The 18503-nt window shown below is 50.6% G+C and overlaps 1 protein-coding gene and 2 pseudogenes across 8 annotated transcripts, besides 4 other annotated features; 2 read left to right on the top strand and 1 right to left on the bottom strand.

The window, feature by feature from the left end:
* On the top strand, positions 1531 to 2252 carry RPL10AP12 (ribosomal protein L10a pseudogene 12; annotated as a pseudogene).
* LOC100422319 (iron-sulfur cluster assembly 1 homolog (S. cerevisiae) pseudogene) lies at positions 3036 to 3673 on the top strand (annotated as a pseudogene).
* Positions 9831 to 10538: an enhancer, noted in NCBI's record as "NANOG-H3K27ac hESC enhancer chr16:85841166-85841873 (GRCh37/hg19 assembly coordinates)". NCBI's record gives its function as "activates a minimal SCP1, AML or CMV promoter by ChIP-STARR-seq in naive H9 embryonic stem cells {active_cell/tissue: H9 hESC(naive)}" and the evidence as "EXISTENCE:reporter gene assay evidence [ECO:0000049][PMID:30033119]".
* Positions 11030 to 18403, bottom strand: COX4I1 (cytochrome c oxidase subunit 4I1). Of its 8 annotated transcripts, none has more exons than XM_024450156.2 (5): positions 18214 to 18403; positions 16820 to 16893; positions 12994 to 13161; positions 12234 to 12365; positions 11030 to 11360 (listed from the first exon to the last, which is right to left on the bottom strand). In XM_024450156.2, exons 1-5 carry the CDS (start codon positions 18228 to 18230, stop codon positions 11224 to 11226), a joined length of 528 nt encoding a protein of 175 aa, XP_024305924.1. In that variant the 5' UTR covers positions 18231 to 18403; the 3' UTR covers positions 11030 to 11223. The 8 variants fall into 8 exon arrangements, with proteins under 8 accessions (XP_024305924.1, NP_001305715.1, NP_001852.1 ...); NM_001318786.3 differs by having other exon boundaries at positions 16820 to 16914; positions 18346 to 18403; NM_001861.6 differs by having other exon boundaries at positions 18346 to 18403.
* Positions 17923 to 18122: a silencer, noted in NCBI's record as "silent region_7825". NCBI's record gives its function as "represses an Ori minimal core promoter by ATAC-STARR-seq in GM12878 lymphoblastoid cells {active_cell/tissue: GM12878}" and the evidence as "EXISTENCE:reporter gene assay evidence [ECO:0000049][PMID:35858748]".
* Positions 18133 to 18202: a silencer, noted in NCBI's record as "silent region_7824". NCBI's record gives its function as "represses an Ori minimal core promoter by ATAC-STARR-seq in GM12878 lymphoblastoid cells {active_cell/tissue: GM12878}" and the evidence as "EXISTENCE:reporter gene assay evidence [ECO:0000049][PMID:35858748]".
* Positions 18233 to 18332: a silencer, noted in NCBI's record as "silent region_7823". NCBI's record gives its function as "represses an Ori minimal core promoter by ATAC-STARR-seq in GM12878 lymphoblastoid cells {active_cell/tissue: GM12878}" and the evidence as "EXISTENCE:reporter gene assay evidence [ECO:0000049][PMID:35858748]".

The following is an 18503-nucleotide window of genomic DNA, read 5'->3' as shown; positions in this document are numbered from 1 at the left end:
AAAAATGACATATAAAACTGCTATATGGGCTGGGCACAATGACTCATGCCTGTAATCCCAGCACTTTCAGAGGCCGAGGCAGGTAGATCACCTGAGGTCAGGAGTTCAAGATCAGCCTGGCCAACATGGTGAAACCCCGTCTCTACTAAAAATACAAAAAAACTAGCCAGGCATGGTGGCGGTCACCTGTAATCCCAGCTACTCGGGAGGCTGAGGCAAGAGAATCGCTTGAACCCAAGAGGCAGAGGTTGCAGTGAGCCAAGATCACACCACTGCACTCCAGCCTGGGCAACAGAGCAAGACTCTGACTAAAAAAAAAGAATGCAAAAAGATATGCTATGAAAATAATAACCAAAATATTAGGCAAAATAGACTTTAAGACTAAAGTATTATTGGAGATAAACAGAATCACTTCATAATGACAGAATTTCAACTTTCAGGACATTATAACCAATTTTAATTTGTAAATGCCTAATGATATAGTCTTAAGTATATAAAGCAAAAATTTACCAAAATTACAAGGAAATAGATAAATAGACAAAAATTTGTCTCAGAAATAGAACAAGCAAACGAAAACATCAGTGAGGAATAGAACGAACAGACAAAAATATCAGTAAGAGATGACATATGCAGGGACTCACGCCTGTAATACCAGCACTTTGGGAGGCCAGGGCAGGTGGATTACCTGAGGTTGGAAGTTCGAGACCAGCCCAGCCAGGGGGGCCAGGGCAGAAGGATCACTTGAGGCCAGGAGTTCAAGACCAGCCTGGCCAACACAGTGAAATCCCATCTCTACTGAAAATACAAAAATTAGCCATCTGTGGTGGCGCACGCCTGTAATCCCAGCTACTTGGGAGGCTGAGACAGGAGAATCACTTGAACAGTGATTGAACAGAGGAGGCAGAGGTTGCAGTGAGCCAAGATCGTGCCACTGCACTCCAACCTGAATGACAGAGCAAGACTCCATCTCAAAAAAAAAAAAAAAAAAAAAAAAAAAAGTCCTGCAAGTGTGAGCTACAATTGCACCACTGCCACTCCAGCCTGGGCAACAAAGACCCTGTCTCTAAAAAAATAATAGGCGGCCAGGTGCAATGGCTCACACCTATCGTCCCAGCACTTTGGGGCACCAAGGCAGGAGGATCACTTGAGCCCAGGAGTTCAAGATCAGCCTGGGTAACATAGTGAAACCCTGTCTCTACTAAAAAATAGGCTGGGTGTGGTGGCTCACACCTGTAATCCCAGCACTCTGGGAGGCCGAGGTGGGCAGATCACGAGGTCAGGAGATTGAGACCATCCTGGCTAACATGGTGAAACCCCATCTCTACTAAAAATACAAAAAAAAAAAATTAGCTGGGCATGGTGGTGGACACCTGTAGTCCCAGCTACTCGGGAGGCTGAGGTAGGAGAATGGACTGAACCCAGGAGGTGGAGCTGGCAGTGAGCAGAGATGGCGCCACTGCACTCCAGCCTGGGCGACAAAGGAAGACTCCGTCTAAAAAAAAAATAATAATAATAATAATAATAATAGAGCTCTTTTCCAGTTAGCACAGTGGGAGAAGCCATGAGCAGCAAAGTCTCTCGCGACACCCTGTACGAGGCAGTGTGGGAAGTCCTACGTGGGAACCAGCACAAGCACCGCAAGTTCCTAGAGACAGTGGAGTCACAGATCAGCTTGAAGAACTATGACCCCCAGAAGGACAAGCGCTTCTCAGGCACCATCAGGCTGAAGTCCACTCCCCGGCCCAAGTTCTCCGTGTGTGTCCTGGAGGACCAGCAGCACTGTGACGAGGCCAAGGCCATGGGTATCCCCCACATGGACATCACATGGACATCGAGGCGCTGAAAAAACTCAACGAGAATAAAAAACTGGTCAAGAAGCTGGCCAAGAAGTATGATGCATTTTTGGCCTCGGGGTCTCTGATCAAGCAGATTTCACGAATCCTTGGCCCAGGCCTAAATAAGGCGGGAAACTTCCCTTCCCTGCTCACACACAACAAAAACACGGTGGCCAAAGTGGATGAGGCGAAGTCCACAATCAATTCCGAATGAAGAAGGTGTTATATCTGGCTGTGGCTGTGGGTCACGTGAAGATGACAGATGATGAGCTTGTATATGACATTCACCTGGCTGTCACCTTGTTGGTGTCATTGCCCAAGAAAAACTGGCGGAATGTCCGGGCCTTATGTATCAAGAGCACCATGACCAAGCCCCAGCGCCTATATTAAGGCACATTTGAATAAATTCTACTACCAACAAAAATTTTTTTAAAAATACTAAATAAATAATAAACATAAATAAATCACGTAAGTGGTTATTATGGGTGATCGTGAGTGGAGCCACTCATACTTCTAGCCACCGGCTCCCTGACCTGCACGTTCAGGCTCTAGTGGTCTCCCACGCAAAGCACAGTGCTGTGTGAAAAAAGAGAACACTCACCTTGACAGGGTGGAGGCCCTCGGGCCTGCATGATAGGGGACAGGTGAGGCATTGCCACCTGCATAACTGCTTTCGCGTCTGGGAATACACCCCAAAGAACTGAAAGTGGGGAGTCCCGCAGATATTTGTGCACCTGTGTTCGTAGCAGCATGATTGGCCATAACCAGAAGGTGGAAACAACCTGATTTCCACAGACAGACGAGTGGAAAAACAACATGCGGGATATTTTTGGGGTACAAAAATGTGGTCTATCTGTTCAATGCAGCATTATTTAGCCTTAAGAAGGAATGAAATTCTGACACATGCTACAACATGGATGAATCCTGAAGACAACTTGCTGAGTGAAATAAGCCAGGCGCAAAAAGCCACACACTGTATGAATCCACTGATTGGTGGTCCCTAGACTAGTCAAATTCGTAGAGACAGAAAGCAGGATGGGGGGTGCCAGGGGCTGGGGAGGGGAAATGGGGAGGGAGTGTTTGGTGGGGACAGAGTTTCAGTTTGGAAGATGAAAAAGTTCTGGAACAAGTGGTGATGCTTACACACAAGGAAACGGGGCATGTCCATGATGCCTGAGAATTGTGTGCTTCTAATCGGCTACCCTGACACCTTCAGTAGTGAACAAGACAGAACAACTTCTTAAAGATGCATCTGAGCACACAGGTGTGAAACTCAGTGTCCGAACCTGGGGCTGTGCTTTCTTATACTCTAGAATACATGAAGACAAAAGGAGGCTCTAATGAAGAAGTTGTTCAAGATGGAGTCAGAATGTTCATCGAAAAGAAGGTATAGCTAGGGCTGGGCGCAGTGGCTCACGCCTGTAATCCCAGCACCTTGGGAGGCTGAGGCGAGCGGATCACTTAAGGTCAGGAGTTCCAGACTAGCCTGGCCAACATGGTAAAACCTGCCTCTACTAAAAAAAAAAAAAAGAAAAAAATTCCAAAAATTAGCTGGATGTGATGGCATGCACCTGTATGTAATCCCAGCTACTCGGGAGGCTGAGGCACAAGAATTGCTTGAACCTGGGAGGCAGAGGTTTCAGTGAGCCGAGATCATGCCACTGCGCTCCAGCCTGGGTGACGGAGCAAGATTCCAGCTCAAAAAAAAAGAAAAGAAGGCACAGCTAACACTTTTAGGAACAGAAATGGACCATGTTGAAGACAAATCATCCAGCGAGTTTGTGTTCAGTAACCCAAACATCAGAGGAACTTATGGCCATGGAGAAAGCTGTAATATTTGAAACCTCAGGACACCTCGAGCCACGAGCTCCAGGAAAGCTCACGGAAGCACTAGGGCTTGCTGAAGAAATCCTGTGATTGTTACATGTTTAATGCGTGGCTACCTTGTAAGGAAAATTAAGTGATGCATTTTGAAAATGAAGAAAAAAAAAGGCTGGGCGCCTTGGCTCATGCCTGTAATCCCGGCACTTTGTGAGGCCGAGGCGGACGGCTCACGAGGTCAAGAGATCGAGACCATCTTGACCAACATGGTGAAACCCCGTCTCTACTAAAAATACAAAAATTAGCTGGGCGTCCTAGCTAATTAGCTAAAGTCCTAGCTACTTGGGAGGCTGAGGCAGGAGAATAGCTTGAACCAGGGAGGCGGAGGCTGCAGTGAGCTGAGATTGCACCAATGCACTCCAGCCTGGCGATAGAGCAAGACTTGGTCTCAAAAAAAAAGAAAATGAAAAAAAAAGGTTAAAATGGCTAATTCTATTTTCTATGTATTCTGCCACAGTTTTAAAAATTGGTATTTTTTACAAAATAATGTCCTGCATCCGGCGGGATGGTGCCCCAGCTCTTCAGAGTGTTAGCGTTCACTGGCCTGTCGCAGAGTGTTGGGATGACCATTTCAACTGGGCGGCTGCTTCCGATGAGGGCAACGGTGAGGCCAGTGGTGTCCTCACCACTGAGGCATGAGCCCTAACCCTTTACTCTCTGGCTGTGAAGTGAGTGAGCTTCTTGATTAGAGCGATGTGTGGGACGCCCAGACAGCAAATGAGGCATGCACGGTGCTGTTGCAGGGAAGGCAACTCCATTTCCAGAATATGGGCCTATTCTTGGAGGACAAATCTCTGCCCCTCCGCTGGAGGAGGGGGTCTAATGTCACCCACCTGCCACTGAGTGGCTGCCTGGTGCTCCCTCATGAAGCTGCCACCTCAGGGTACCTCAACAGCAGTGCCTGCAGGCAGCCCGGGGGAGCGAGCGGGAGCGGTAGGGAGGCAGTCTGTTGCGTGGCAAGAGTGATGCCATCTTGGAGCAAAACTGCCGTGATGACCAATGCTGGACTCCTGCACACCAAGCTGTTCTGCAGGAAAGTCTTTAAACAATGCCTTTGGCATTCATAACCGCTCCCAAAGATGCTTATCCAACCTCCCCAGTGGTAACGAGCTTTGGCAAGAAAGTCTGAGGCGTGATCAGCTGCCCATGTCTTTACCTCAAACGCCTGCTGTATAAAGGTGACTTTCTGGAAGGCAGGTATGGGGAGCCACTATCTGTTCGTAAGTCCCTATTTCTGTTCCTAAGTTCCTATTATTTCTTTCTGGTCAGGTGCAGCGGCTCACACCTGTACTCTGAACACTTTGAGAGGCCCAGGTGGGAGGATCGCTTAAAGCGAGGAGCTCAAGACCAGCCTGAGCAACATAGCCATTGGTTGTCTGCACACAAAAATTTTAGATTAGCTGGGTCTGGTGGCACATGGCTGTAGTCCCAGCTACTCAGCTACCTGAGGCAGGAGGATCGCCTGAGTCCAGGAGGTCGAGGCTGCAGTTAGCTATGATTGCACCACTGCATTCCAGCCTGGGGGACAGATGGAGATCCTGTATCTTAAAAAAAAAAATTATGTTTATTATTTCTGAGAAACTGAATTTGTCAGCCTCTTTCTTCGGCCTCTGGGCTCCCTCAGCCTTTGTGGATGGGTCTGCACAGACCTGTTCACGCGGAATAGAAACCCATGTGGCCCGGGCCATGCCATGCCTCCGTCCCTCTGCGATGGTTCCTTCTCCACGGCCCCAGCTCGTGTCCCCTGCTCTCGTTCTGAGCCCTGCCCATGCTCTCCTGCCGCTTTGTCTGTCTCTCCACCCCGGGATTTTAATCCGTTACAGCGCAGATTCTTCACTGCAGCCCAAACTCATTTTCCTGCATTTCTGGAAGGAGGCGGGGCTCAGGAAAACTTTCCTACTCCCAAGAGCTCCCGCTGGGGTTGTTTTCTTTTGAGGTTCAAAAGCATGGACCTGGCCTCTGGGATTTCGGGCTCTCTACACTTTCCCCACGAGAATCTGGATCTTGCCTGTACTTTCTTTGCCTGTCCTGGTCAGTCCCTTTCCACTGCCGGCAGTTTCTCTGCAGTGTGGATCCCTGCCCGGGGACGGTAGCCTGGGAGAGTGGGTATAGAGAGCGCTCCAGCCCCTTCGGGACCCACTGAGAAGCCCCACAATCGCCTGCTTCTGCACGGGGCGGCCTCTCAGCGTCACAGGAGGGTCGCTGTGCTTCCCAGTGAGTGCCCCGCTGCTGTGTCCCAGGTCCACCCGCCGTCCCTTTGCTTCCCTCCGCGTCCTGCTGCACCAAAGCAGATGCTGTGTCGGGCTGTGGCGCAGGTGACTTGTCCCCACGCATTTGTATTCCGCAGATCGTGAGGGGTTCGTGGGACTCTCTCACCTAGTATTGTCCATTGGGTTTATGGTTTTGCTATCTAGTTACTCTGTCTTTACATGGGGATTCAGGGAAATTCAAACACTCTGCCACCATCTTCCCGGAACCCCCTCCTCTTTGCTTTTTAAACCAAATTGCCCACCATTATTTTTACTGCTGTATTCAGCCAGTGCTTGAGTGGCTTTGCGTTCATGGTTTTCAGTTCCTTTGCCTACCATTTCTCCTGGCATCTCACTCCTCTTTGAGCAGTTTTCTTCTTCCTGAGCCACATCTTTCAGCACTCTTCTCAGCAAGGGCTTGGTGGTGGTAGACACTCTTCATTTTTTCCCTCCTCTTGGTTAAAAGCTTAGCTGGTACTATTAATCTAGAGGAAACCACTGCTCCCTTATCTTCCAGCTTCTAAGATGTCTTTTAATGTGTCTGCTGCTGTCCTGCCCTATATAGGTAATGATTTTTTTATAAGCAGTTTTTTTTTTAAGAGACAGGGTCTTGCTATGTTGCCCAGGCTGGTCTCAAAACTGCTGCCCTCAGCTGGGTGCAGTGGCTCACGCCTGTAATCCCAGCACTTTGAGAGGCCGAGGCAGGTGGATCACCTTAGGTCAGGAGTTCGAGACCAGCCTAGCCAACATGGCGAAACCCCACCTCTACTAAAAATACAAAAATTAGCCAGGTGTGGTGGTGTGCGCCTGTAATCCCAGCTACTCAGGAGGCTGAAGCAGGAGAATTGCTTGAACCCAGGAGGTGGAGGCTGCGGTGAGCTGAGATCACACCACTGCACTCCAGCCTGGGCAACAGTGAGACTCCATCTCAAAAACAAAAAAACAAAAAAAACTGCTGGCCTCAAGCAATCCTCCCGCCTAAGCCTCACAAGTAGCTGGGACTGCAGGCTCAAGCCACCACGCCTGGCCGTGAATTTTTAAATTCTGGAGAGTAGAAAACTGCCAACTGGGAGGAAGATGAGCAGAGAAGGAAGAAGAGTGACAAAGAGGGACACAGTGTATCTTAAATTCCAAGGAGCTTCAAGGTTAGGCTGGGGGGTGAGGTCTCTGTGATGGCCCCACGTGGAGATGCAGGCCCTGGACGGGTGAGGAGCCTCATCTCTGAGGCATCTTCCCTTGAGGCCCCGGCGTGGGGAGACAGGGCCCTCTCCAGCCTCCAGTGAGCTAAGTTGGGGTTGTCCCAAGGGCTCATCTTGCTCAAAGTCCTCCTGCCTCGTTAAGGAGCCTCAATATTTTCCCTGAGCACCCTGGGAGGGGCAGTCCAGGGGTGAAATGAGACCCCGCACACACACACTCAGAAAGAGCTCAGTCCTCCTCTTCTTGTGGGCCGCAGTCCATGTGCCCTGGCATCTGAGCACCCCTGCCATACCCCCACCCTGCCTCCTCCCACAGTGCTTCTGCCTGGTGGCCGTCTTGCTGTCCTTTGAACACACCAAGCCCTGTTCTGCCTCCAGCGTCATGCCTGCTGTGCAGGCTTGGTGCTGTGTCCACCTGCCAGCCCGACCTCCCCTCAGGTTTCAGCGTGAGTGGCTCGGCTCATCTTCAAGTCTCAGCCGAAATGTCACCTCTTCAGTGACATCTGCCCAACCAACCCCCACCCATAACCTTTTCTCCCTGTGCCCCCTCCCTCCACCCTGCTGGATCCTCTACTTCTCTGTGTATTTGTTTTACTTGTGGTCTGCCTCCCTGTGAGCCTGGGAAAGTGAGCACCTGGGGTCAGGTCAGCATCACGTCCCCATGGCATGCGGGTGACCAGTGAAGGATCATGGGCTGAATCCAGCCATGAACCCCTGCGGCCTCCCAAATTCCCACTAAAATGGCAGTAAAAAGGGATTTTTATTTTTTTAAGCGTGAGGACAAAATCAGGATGGACAGCCACGTTTTGGAATCTGAATCCAATGGAAAAATGGCAGTTCTCTTAGCAAGGTCAAGAGCACAGCTTCCTAAGCAGTAGGAGGGAAAGGCCAGGAAGAGCCGGACTTCTCAAGGACTCACTCAAGGCTAAAAGTAGAGGGCTTGTACAGCAGGCTCGATTCCACAGACACCTCTGCCTTCATCCTGGGGTGACAGCTCCTTCCTCTCGGCCTCTCCTGAGGGAGATGCAGGCGATGATGAGCCTGGCCTGCTGCCTGGCCCAGGGCAGGCGGCTCCACCAGAGCCAGGCAAAGGGTCAGGGACCAGTGGGGCCGGGGTCAACTACTTCAGCTTCCCCTACCACCCCCAGGAGCCCACCCTCGGGCAAGGAACTGAAAATGGCATCCCCCAGAGGGCAGTGTGGGCTTTTGTAGTTAAACCACCAAGGGGTTCACACGAGTCCTCACGGCAAGACTCCACAAGGCCCTGTAGCCCCCTGCATCCCACTCTCCCGGGGGGCTCAGCTGGTCCTTCGAGAACAAGGGATCAAGGGCGTTTCTACAGCACTGGAAGGTGCTCGATTGGGGTGTATTTGACCTGCTCTTGATTTTGAACTGAGCCCAAACCTTCCAGCCAGCCAAGGTCTTTGTCCCATGTATTTCCTCTGGGCAAGATCTAAGGGTCCCCTTTCCCTTCCTGGCTACAGCTATGCTTCTCCGGGGCCATTCTCTCCCCTTGCCTCATTCCTATCCCCCAGTGCTGGCAGGAAACCCCTCTCTGCCAACCATCTCTGCTACTCTCAGCACACAGGCTGCAGATTTGTTCTCTTCTCCAGACAGGGTCTCCAGTTTGGGAACTGGTGCTTGGGTGGGACAGGTAAGAGGATGAGTCCTGGAGAGAGCTTGCCAGGGCCAGGATGATGCTCGTAAGACCACCGCTTTGACACTGGCCTTGTGACTACTTTTTAGATCAAAGAGTTGTGAGTAGCCAGGGAGCTGAGCAGGCCACAAGCAGTCCAAGGGAGACGGGGCCAGCACCCACACCTCAGTCAGACCTCAGAGTGGGGCTGTCCTCCCTGAACTGGTGGCCGCCCACCCTAGCCAACATGAAAACTGCAGGGTCCTCTCCCTCTCCCTCCCTCCCCCTCCCTCTCCCTTTCCCTCTCTTTCCATGGTCTCCCTCTCCCTCTCTTTCCACGGTCTCCCTCTGATGCCGAGCCGAAGCTGGACTGTACTGCTTCGATCTCAGCTCACTGCAACCTCCCTGCCTGATTCTCCTGCCTCAGCCTGCCGAGTGCCTGCGATTGCAGGCGCGCGCCGCCACGCCTGACTGGTTTTCGTATTTTTTTGGTGGAGATGGGGTTTCACTGTGTTGGCCGGGCTGGTCTCCAGCTCCTAACCGCGAGTGATCCGCCAGCCTCGGCCTCCCGAGGTGCCGGGATTGCAGACGGAGTCTCGTTCACTCAGTGCTCAATGGTGCCCAGGCTGGAGTGCAGTGGCGTGATCTCGGCTCGCTACAACCTCCACCTCCCAGCCGCCTGCCTTGGCCTCCCAAAATGCCGAGATTGCAGCCTCTGCCCGGCCGCCACCCCATCTGGGAAGTGAGGAGCATCTCTGCCTGGCCGCCCATCGTCTGGGATGCGAGGAGCCCCTCTGCCTGGCTGCCCAGTCTGGAAAGTGAGGAGCGTCTCTGCCCGGCCGCCATCCCATCTAGGAAGTGAGAAGCATCTCTGCCCGGCCGCCCATCGTCTGAGATGTGGGGAGTGCCTCTACCCCGCCGCCCTGTCTGGGAGGTGAGGAGCGTCTCTGCCCGGCCGCGACCCCGTCTGGGAGGTGAGGAGCATCTCTGCCCGGCCGCCCCGTCTGAGAAGTGAGGAGACCCTCCGCCCGGCAGCCACCCCGTCTGGGAAGTGAGGAGCATCTCCGCCCAGCAGCCGCCCCGTCCGGGAGGTGAGGGGTGCCTCTGCCCGGCCGCCCCTACTGGGAAGTGAGGAGCCCCTCTGCCCAGCCACCACCCCGTCTGGGAGGGGTACCCAACAGCTCATTGAGAACGGGCCATGATGACAACGGCGGTTTTGTGGAATAGAAAAGGGGGAAAGGTGGGGAAAAGACTGAGAAATCGGATGGTTGCTGTGTCTGTGTAGAAAGAAGTAGACATGGGAGACTTTTCATTTTGTTCTGTACTAAGAAAAATTCTTCTGCCTTGGGATCCTGTTGATCTATGACCTTACCCCCAACCCTGCGCTCTCTGAAACATGTGCTGTGTCCACTCAGGGTTAAATGGATTAAGGGTGGTGCAAGATGTGCTTTGTTAAACAGATGCTTGAAGGCAGCATGCTCGTTAAGAGTCATCACCACTCCCTAATCTCAAGTACCCAGGGACACAAACACTGCGGAAGGCCACAGGGTCCTCTGCCTAGGAAAACCAGAGACCTTTGTTCACTTATCTGCTGACCTTCCCTCCACTATTGTCCTATGACCCTGCCAAATCCCCCTCTGCGAGAAACACCCAAGAATGATCAGTAAAAAAAAAAAAAAAAAAAAAAAAGAAAACTGCAGGGAGGGAGGGACAGTCCCAGAAGAAAAGTGGTTCATAGGCCGGGCACACTGGCTCACACCTGTTATCCCAGCACTTTGGGAGGCCAAGGCGGGCAGATCACCTGAGGTCAGGAGTTCAAGACCAGCCTGGACAACATGGTGATACCCCGTCTCTACTAAAAAATACAAAAATTAGCTGGTCGTGGTGGTAGGCACCTGTAATCCCAGCTCCTTGGGAGGCTGAGGCAGGAGAATCCCTTGAACCCGAGAAGTGGAGGTGGCAGTGACCCAAGATTGTGCGGCTGCACTCCAGCCTGGGTGACAAGAGCAAGACTCCGTCTCCCAAAACAAAAAAAAAGGGTTGTGGTAACTCCTGCCGGTGTGCCTACGATAATGGGATTTTACTTATATAAAGATCTCTTGCCAAAAACCTCAAATTTCCTACATCAAGGAATTCTATATTTTCAGTTTTTATATAATGTCCCCTTATACAATTTAAGATACTAGATTTTTGCCATTTCATTTGCACCCAAAATATATTTACTCCAGACCCTTGGGAGAAACCTATTGTTTTAATTAGCTTTCATTTAGGTATCATTAAAGAACTGATCACAAAGGGTTTCAGGTAAACTGGTCATTTATTAGCAGTGGTACAACTGTTTGGCATAACAGGTTTCCAGTAAATAGGCATGGAGTTGCATGGCGGTGACAGAGCCAGGCGCAGGTGCAGGCGCAGGCCAGCATCTCTCACTTCTTCCACTCGTTCTTTTCGTAGTCCCACTTGGAGGCTAAGCCCTGGATGGGGTTCACCTTCATGTCCAGCATCCTCTTGGTCTGCTTGGCCACCCACTCTTTGTCAAAGCTTTGCGGGAGGGGGCCGTACACTACGGTGTGAGACAGGTTATGGGGCAAGACTATCTCAACAGGTTGTTTCTAGGCCAATCCCTCACACAGGTTAAATCCTCCCGACACACCAGCCACCAGGTCAGCAGAGCCACCTGCCACTCAACACCCGCTCAAACACACGGTTTCTGACCACTGACAACACTGACATTTTAAAATTAGCCCTTTGTTTGTAAAAAGTTAGCAACAAAATAAGCTAAAAGCAGAAGGTCCTCTCTAAAGGCTATGGATAACAGGATCTGACAAACAGAGCCCAAGGTGACCTGGAAGATCAAATAGATTCGGGTCTGTTATTAACCCACATCCACATTCAAACCAAAAGTACGAGAATATACCTATTCAGAATGCAAAAATGCCTGTTCTGCCTGGACAGAAAGAACCTCGGGGAAGAGTCATTACCACGAGCGAGCAACCCGGCAATGCCCACACACAAACTATCAGGTCGGGACCCCCAGATGCTGGCTGTTGAGATGCAGTCCTCACAACAGTCCAGACAGTCATTCAATGAATGAGTCCCCTTATCCTTGCTCGAACCTTCACGAAGTCATCTTTCGCTAAGTGACTGGTGAGCACATAAATTGCTACTGAAAACGTGGTGTGCTGTACAAAGTAGTTAAGGTATTTCACCACCCAACAAGCATGGCTATGAATAATCAGATGCTGGCTTATAAACTAACCTCCCACGACTTCAGTTCTCCAGGTCACCAAGGCCTGGAAACAATCCTGAGATGAACTCTGGAATGCAGTCCCTATCTCATAGCCTCAAGGTATGGAGGTCCCCGACAGCCCACCAATGGGCACTGCAGGCTGGAGCCCCAGTCCAGGCGCCCATGCCTTCCTCCCTCTCTACTCACCATAGTGCTTCTGCCACATGATAACGAGCGCGGTGAAACCGATGAAGAACATGGCACCGCCCACAACCGTCTTCCACTCGTTCGAGCCCCTGTTCATCTCAGCAAAGCTCTCCTTGAACTTAATGCGATACACTGGGGGCAGAGAGGACAGCCATTTACAGGCACAAAGGTCAGCAGCTCCCTCCTCTGCAACATTCAACCACTTCTCCCCAAAACCACACTTGTGAAGGAGGAAACACAGAGCTGAAGGATACACCAACCCAGGCCACATCATGTTCACGCACGTACGTGCACACACGTGCCCACGCAGGCATGTGACAGGGCAAGGAAAGAAGAAAATGCATACAGTTCGCTTCAGGTGCAAATTAAAACTGCAAAATTATTTCTTACTTGAATTACAGTATTAGGGTCTATTTAATCTTGTTATTTTTCTGCCCCTTTCATACCAAACACTATGCATTTTGCTGAGTTTCTTTCAATAATTTACAGTTAACTATGTCTTACCCAGCAGATATGCTGAGAGGCTACCTCCACTCAGCACAGAGAAGGGGGCCTAGCAAAAGATCCTGTCAGCTGGCAGAGCTAAGTGACTGGTGAGCACATAAACTGGGGCCCTGGCACAGTGACCCCGAAACCCAGCAGAGCAACCCTCCTGTGCAAGACTGCCTCTAGACAGTAGGCCCAGAAGTGAGCAGAGGCTCTGTCACACACACGCTTCCGAGAGCTGCTGGGCGCGCCTGTGGGTCCCTTCAATACCCACACTCGACTTTCTCATCCATGGAGAGGCTGCTCCAGGAGGCCTTCTCCTTCTCCTTCAATGCCTTCTGGCTGGCAGACAGGTGCTTGACATGGGCCACCTCCGGCAAGGGGTGGTCACGCCGATCCATATAAGCTGGGAGCGAAAAGTCTTCGCTCTTCACAACACTTTCTGAAAAACATATTGAATAAATCTTTGAAAATCCATGTAAGTTGAGAGTCACCCCAAGGTGATACTTCTGAAAACCGAAACACAGACATGTGCACGCCTTGAAACCCTGGATCATCTCAGGGGGTCACAGCCACTGTTTAAACAGTTGCAGGAGTGTGGTGGAGGGGGAACAGAAGCACTTCTCATCACAGCCAACAAAAACCCACCAGGGGCAACTGCTAATGAACCCTGGGGCCAAGGTGCCCAGAGGCAGCACTTCCTACATTAACAGTTACCTGCAGGGCTGGGCGCGGTGGCTCACACCTGTAATCCCAGCACTTTGGGAGGCCCAGGCAGGCGGATCACGATGTCAGGAGATCGAGACCATCCTGGCTAACATGGTGAAACCCCGTCTCTACTAAAAATACAAAAAATTAGCCGGGCGTGGCGGCACGTGCCTATAGTCCCAGCTACTCGGAAGGCTGAGGCAGGAGAATCGCTTGAACGCAGGAGGCGGAGGTTGCAGTGAGCTGAGATCGCACCGCTGCACTCCAGCCTGGTGACAGAGCGAGACTTCGTCTCAAAATAAAAAAATAAAAATAAAAAAACCAGTTACCTGCAGACGTGGGCCAAGGCCCTCAGGGCTCCCTGAACAGGTGACTGGACAAAATGAAAGCCTATCTGCAAGGGACTCAAACTAATGAGGAAGAACAAAAACAATAAAAAACTCAAAGCGTTTCAAGTTCAGAAACAAAGACACGTGAGAAGATAACCACAACAGCACTGTTCCAGGGAACCTGTGTCCAACCAGGACTGAGTGAGAAATCGTGCTAGCTCTTAGAAACGAGGATCATGGAGCCATTCATTCAGAGCACATTTACCAAGCACCCTCTACAGGCAAGGCAGGGTTCTAGAGATCTGGGATCATCAGTGAACAAATCAAACATTCCTGCCTAGTGGCACACTTCTAGAAGTGGAAAACAAACAATAAACATAACAAATGTGCAAATCACATGTTTGGAAAAAGTACTCTGGAGAAAGAGTAGAGCAGCGGGGCATCAGGAATGTGTGGATGGCACGAAACAAGGGGCAACGTCCACAGGACGAGGCCGACCTAGGAGCCCAAATGCAGAGGAAGCGTGCACTCAGGAGTCACAGAGCACGGGCAGTATCGTGCGCTTCTCCTTTCTGGAAATCACGTGCACATACTCACATACGCGTAACGAAACGCACAAAACAGACAAGGCAAGCCACAAACTGTTATACAGGTAGGAAGGAGGAAGATCTGAGTGAGGATTTCTGCTCTATCTGCTTCTGTTATTTTAGTGCCTTCAAAGCAGCAGGTATCACATGGAAAAAAGTTCAGAAATCAGAAAGGTAAGGAATAGCTTGGTTGTACTGAGAGTCTTCCCACTGTTAGAAGCTGTTTCTCCAATTCTGTCCTATGTCTGCAAGAACTCTTTGTATTACACACTGGTCTGGAGGTACAATGCCCGCAACAATGCTTCAACTCCATTAGCTCAGTCCCAGTGACTAAAATCACCCAAATCATGTGAACAGTAAATCAACATTCAGCTTTAAGCAAGTCGTATATAGACTTCTCTAGATGTTTCTCTTAGCCGTGCAAATGACTGGCATACTTACAAACTTATACTTGACACCTCATCCCAAAACTGAGCTGGGATTTGAGGGACAGGAGATGGAAATGGCCTAAATTACTTTCTAATTTTAAAACCCTAATTCTATGAAAATGATGAGTGAACTATAAAGAACACTTGTATACTGAATATTTTTATCAAGTTCAGCACCCCCCAGAAGTCTCTAAAGTTTAAAACACTCAGCTTACACATGAGAGTTATTAAAAATAAATGTAAATATGGGTGATGAGAATGTTCTAGAACTGACTGTGGTGCTAATGACAAAACTCAATGAATATACTAAAAACCACTGGAGCATACACTTTAAATGGGTGACTGTTATATGAATTACATCTTGTAAAGCTGTTGTAAATGCCATGACAGGGAGACTGGGGGGAAAAAGCTATTATAACGACGTAAACCCTCAAAACCTTGGCGCATGCAAACCTCAAAATTGCATCTTCCAGAATAAGAATGGCCAATTCATGGTTTCAGGGGTTCTTCAGAGCTTCAGGCCTGGTCCCCCAGCAATTAAGGGAAAATCAATGGTTAATATACCAAACATTTCTTTTAGAGAGAGAGAAAAACAAAGACTCCAGATTGTAAGGAATGTTTGTCACCGCTTCAACATGGACGGATTTCTGTTGAGCCTCTGCTGGGGAGATCTGGTATATCTGGGCACCCCTTACTCAGGTGCATCACCACACAAATATCCCAACTGACTTCAGTGACGGCTGATGGTATTCCAGACTGCTTTAATATCTTATGTTGAGAACACATTCATGTATTATTCATGTATGACTTACGTAAGTTATAACTTAACAGAGAAGACTTGTCTAAGAGCCTGCAGTTCGTCTTCATCTGCCTCCTATGTGCTGGAGATACGGCAATGAGTAAGACAGGCAGGCTCCCTGGCCTCAAAAGGCTTACACTCTAAGAGGCTGAGACAGCAATACTCAAATAGACATGCATTCATGAGGCATCCAGTGTTATAAGGAAAAGCACAGCAAGGTGAGGTGACAGGGAGCTTCCTGAGAAAGGATGGTCAGGAGAGGCCGTTCTAAAAGCACATTTGTATCGAGGGTGAATGATTAGACAGGAGCGACCACCCACAACTCGGGGCTCTACGGGAGGAATGGAGTAAGGCCAGGGGGCTGGGGCAGTGAGCAAGTGGGGATGGGTGGTTCTGATGGTAGTTTTTGGGTTTTGAGTACAACAGTCAGTAATAAGATCGGAAAGGCAGGCAAGACCAGCTCTAACCAGGCAGGGTGTAGACTCTACTAAGGCAATGAAAAGACCCTGGAGAGTTTCCTCCAGAAGCCTTCCCTGAAACCCACATCGGGCTAAATGCTTCTACCCAGGAGCCATCTCTTAATAAAACACTGTCTTCACCCATCCGTCCCTCTTCAGATTGCAAACAGCCTCCTGGAAAGTGTGTGTATTTCATATTCTTTTTCTTCTCGGTGCCTAACAGTGTCTGGTACAAAGTAGATAGACGCCAGATACATGCAAAAGTAAATGTGCTGTATGCCAGACACAGAACTAAGCTCTGTCCATATACTTCAGGTGAGCAAAGAGATTCCTGAGCTTCAGTAGCTAGTCCTTGATAGAAATGAGATGAAAACCCAGCTCAGGCTAGGAAGTCCAGGCTCTTTCGTTTCCATTGCCTCTATAATGTAAACAGAGGTGATGCAAATGGTTGGGAGTTGTGGGGGCAAGGTGGGGAGGGAGGTCATTAAGGTCAGTCAGTTATGGTGCAGAAGATCTTTTGAAAGGGGTAGATCTCGAAGCTTAAAAAAGTGGAACGGAAGGGAAGGGTAAGTGGGGAAGTATCAGTATAACCAAAGATCCAGAAGAGATTCAATTTGACTTATAAACACTTCTTAATCTAGAACCAAGCCCTGTGAGAACATTTATATCTCCCCTAAAGACCCTCAAGAGCCGAATTAAGGTCTTTAAAACTCCAGCACAGGGCTTTATACACAGCAGGAGCAAAATGAAATTAGTTCAGCCTATTTAAAAGTAAGAAAAGTCACACTTACCATGAGCTCGTACACACACAGAGGTGGAAATTGCTCGCTTGCCAACTAGGCTAAATACCCTGGTAGCCAACATTCTGAAAGATAAAAATGTACACCTTCTCTATGAATAAGGACAAACAGCAAGGAATTAGTCTTCTTTTTGCCCCAGAGCATTTTGGAATTTTTTTGTTTGCTTCTCCCCAACGCAAATGATCCATTCTTTATCACTGTCTCTGAATTCACAAAATGACCTAGGATGAGGTTTTTCTTAGTAATTGGCATGCTTTTAAGGAGCTTCATTATAAATCAACTGCCATAATATATACGCGCTTCAGGTAATTAACAGAACATTGGTCTTTTTAAAAAAACAAGGAGAGGCCGGGCGCGGTGGCTCACGCCGGTAATTCCAGCACTTTGGGAGGCCGAGGCGGACAGATCACCTGAGGTCAGGGGTTCAAGACCAGCCTGGCCAACATGGTGAAATCCCGTCTCTACTAACAATACAAAAATTAGCCGGGCATGGTAGTGGGCGCCCGTAATCCCCGCTACTTGGGAGGCTGAGGTAGAAGAATCGCTTGAACCCGGGAGGTAGAGACTGCAGTGAGCCGAGACCGCACCACTGCACCCCAGCCTGGGCAACCAGAGCAAGAGTCCGTCTCAAACAAAAAAAGGCAAGAAGAAAAAATGCTAACAAGGTGACTCTGAAAAAGCTAGAGATCATTAAAGCACTGTGCTGCCGTGACAGACTCCATTCTTCAGGGAGCGGTGGGGGGAGGTGACAGCTCACAGGGACCGTGGCACGCATCACATTCAACTGAGTGTTTAAAACCTAATACCGCCTGTACATAGACTAGAAGGGGAAATTGGAGAAGGCTGCCAACACAGCCCCGATCAATTTCCAATCCCTGAGGAGAGCGGAAAACCTATGAGACCCCCCCTCACCCGGGCCCTCCTCTATTCAGGCCCATCAACCTTACACGGCCCCCTTTAAATCGACCCTTCGGAGGACTGGTGAGAGTGATGTGGGGAAATACCCTCCTTGGGGCAGAATAAACAAGCATGACGTCAGGGCTGAACGCCCGCGTCTAGCTTCTCTCCTTGGGCCTAGCCCTTGCGTGAGCAAACAATAGGCGCCTTCCAGGCTGGAAAGCCGAGCGCCGCCCGGGAGCCCCGCAAAACCCGGGAGGGGTTGCACAGGGACCTTTTGAAGGAGCAAGGGCGGAGGCTGCAGGCACAGAGCGCGGGCCCGCCTCCCCGCAGCCTGAGCCCTCGGCCAGCGGGCGCTCCAAGGTCAGTGCCCGAGGCCGGTCCGCAGCCGCTGCGAGACCGGGTAAGATGGACCGGGCACTTCGGGGCGGCCCCCCGAGCCTGGAGCCACCGAGCCCGGAGTCCCCACGGGCCGGCCTCAATGTCACCTGGCTCCGAGGCCCATTCGGTGCTTCCTGCTGAAGCCGAGCGGCCAGGCTGCGGACGTGCAGACTTGATGGCTCCCGGCCCCCCGACCCGGCCCGGCCTGGCGGCGCCGCACCGGCCACCTCCTGTCTCACCTGCCGCCACTGCCCGCCGCGACCGCCCTCTACACCCGGTGTCCCGCGACCGGAAGAGAGCAAGGCCGCGCCGCGGAGCACCACGGGATCGAGGAAGACTCCGCCCGCACCCGGCCGCACGGAGGTCACCGTGGAGCGGAAAAGGGTAGCGCTGCGAA

This window comes from Homo sapiens, chromosome 16 (genome assembly GCF_000001405.40).
Source record: "Homo sapiens chromosome 16, GRCh38.p14 Primary Assembly".
Lineage (NCBI taxonomy): Eukaryota > Metazoa > Chordata > Mammalia > Primates > Hominidae > Homo > Homo sapiens.
Note: the sequence above shows the minus strand (reverse complement) of the source record. Positions and strands in the feature narration are given on the sequence as shown.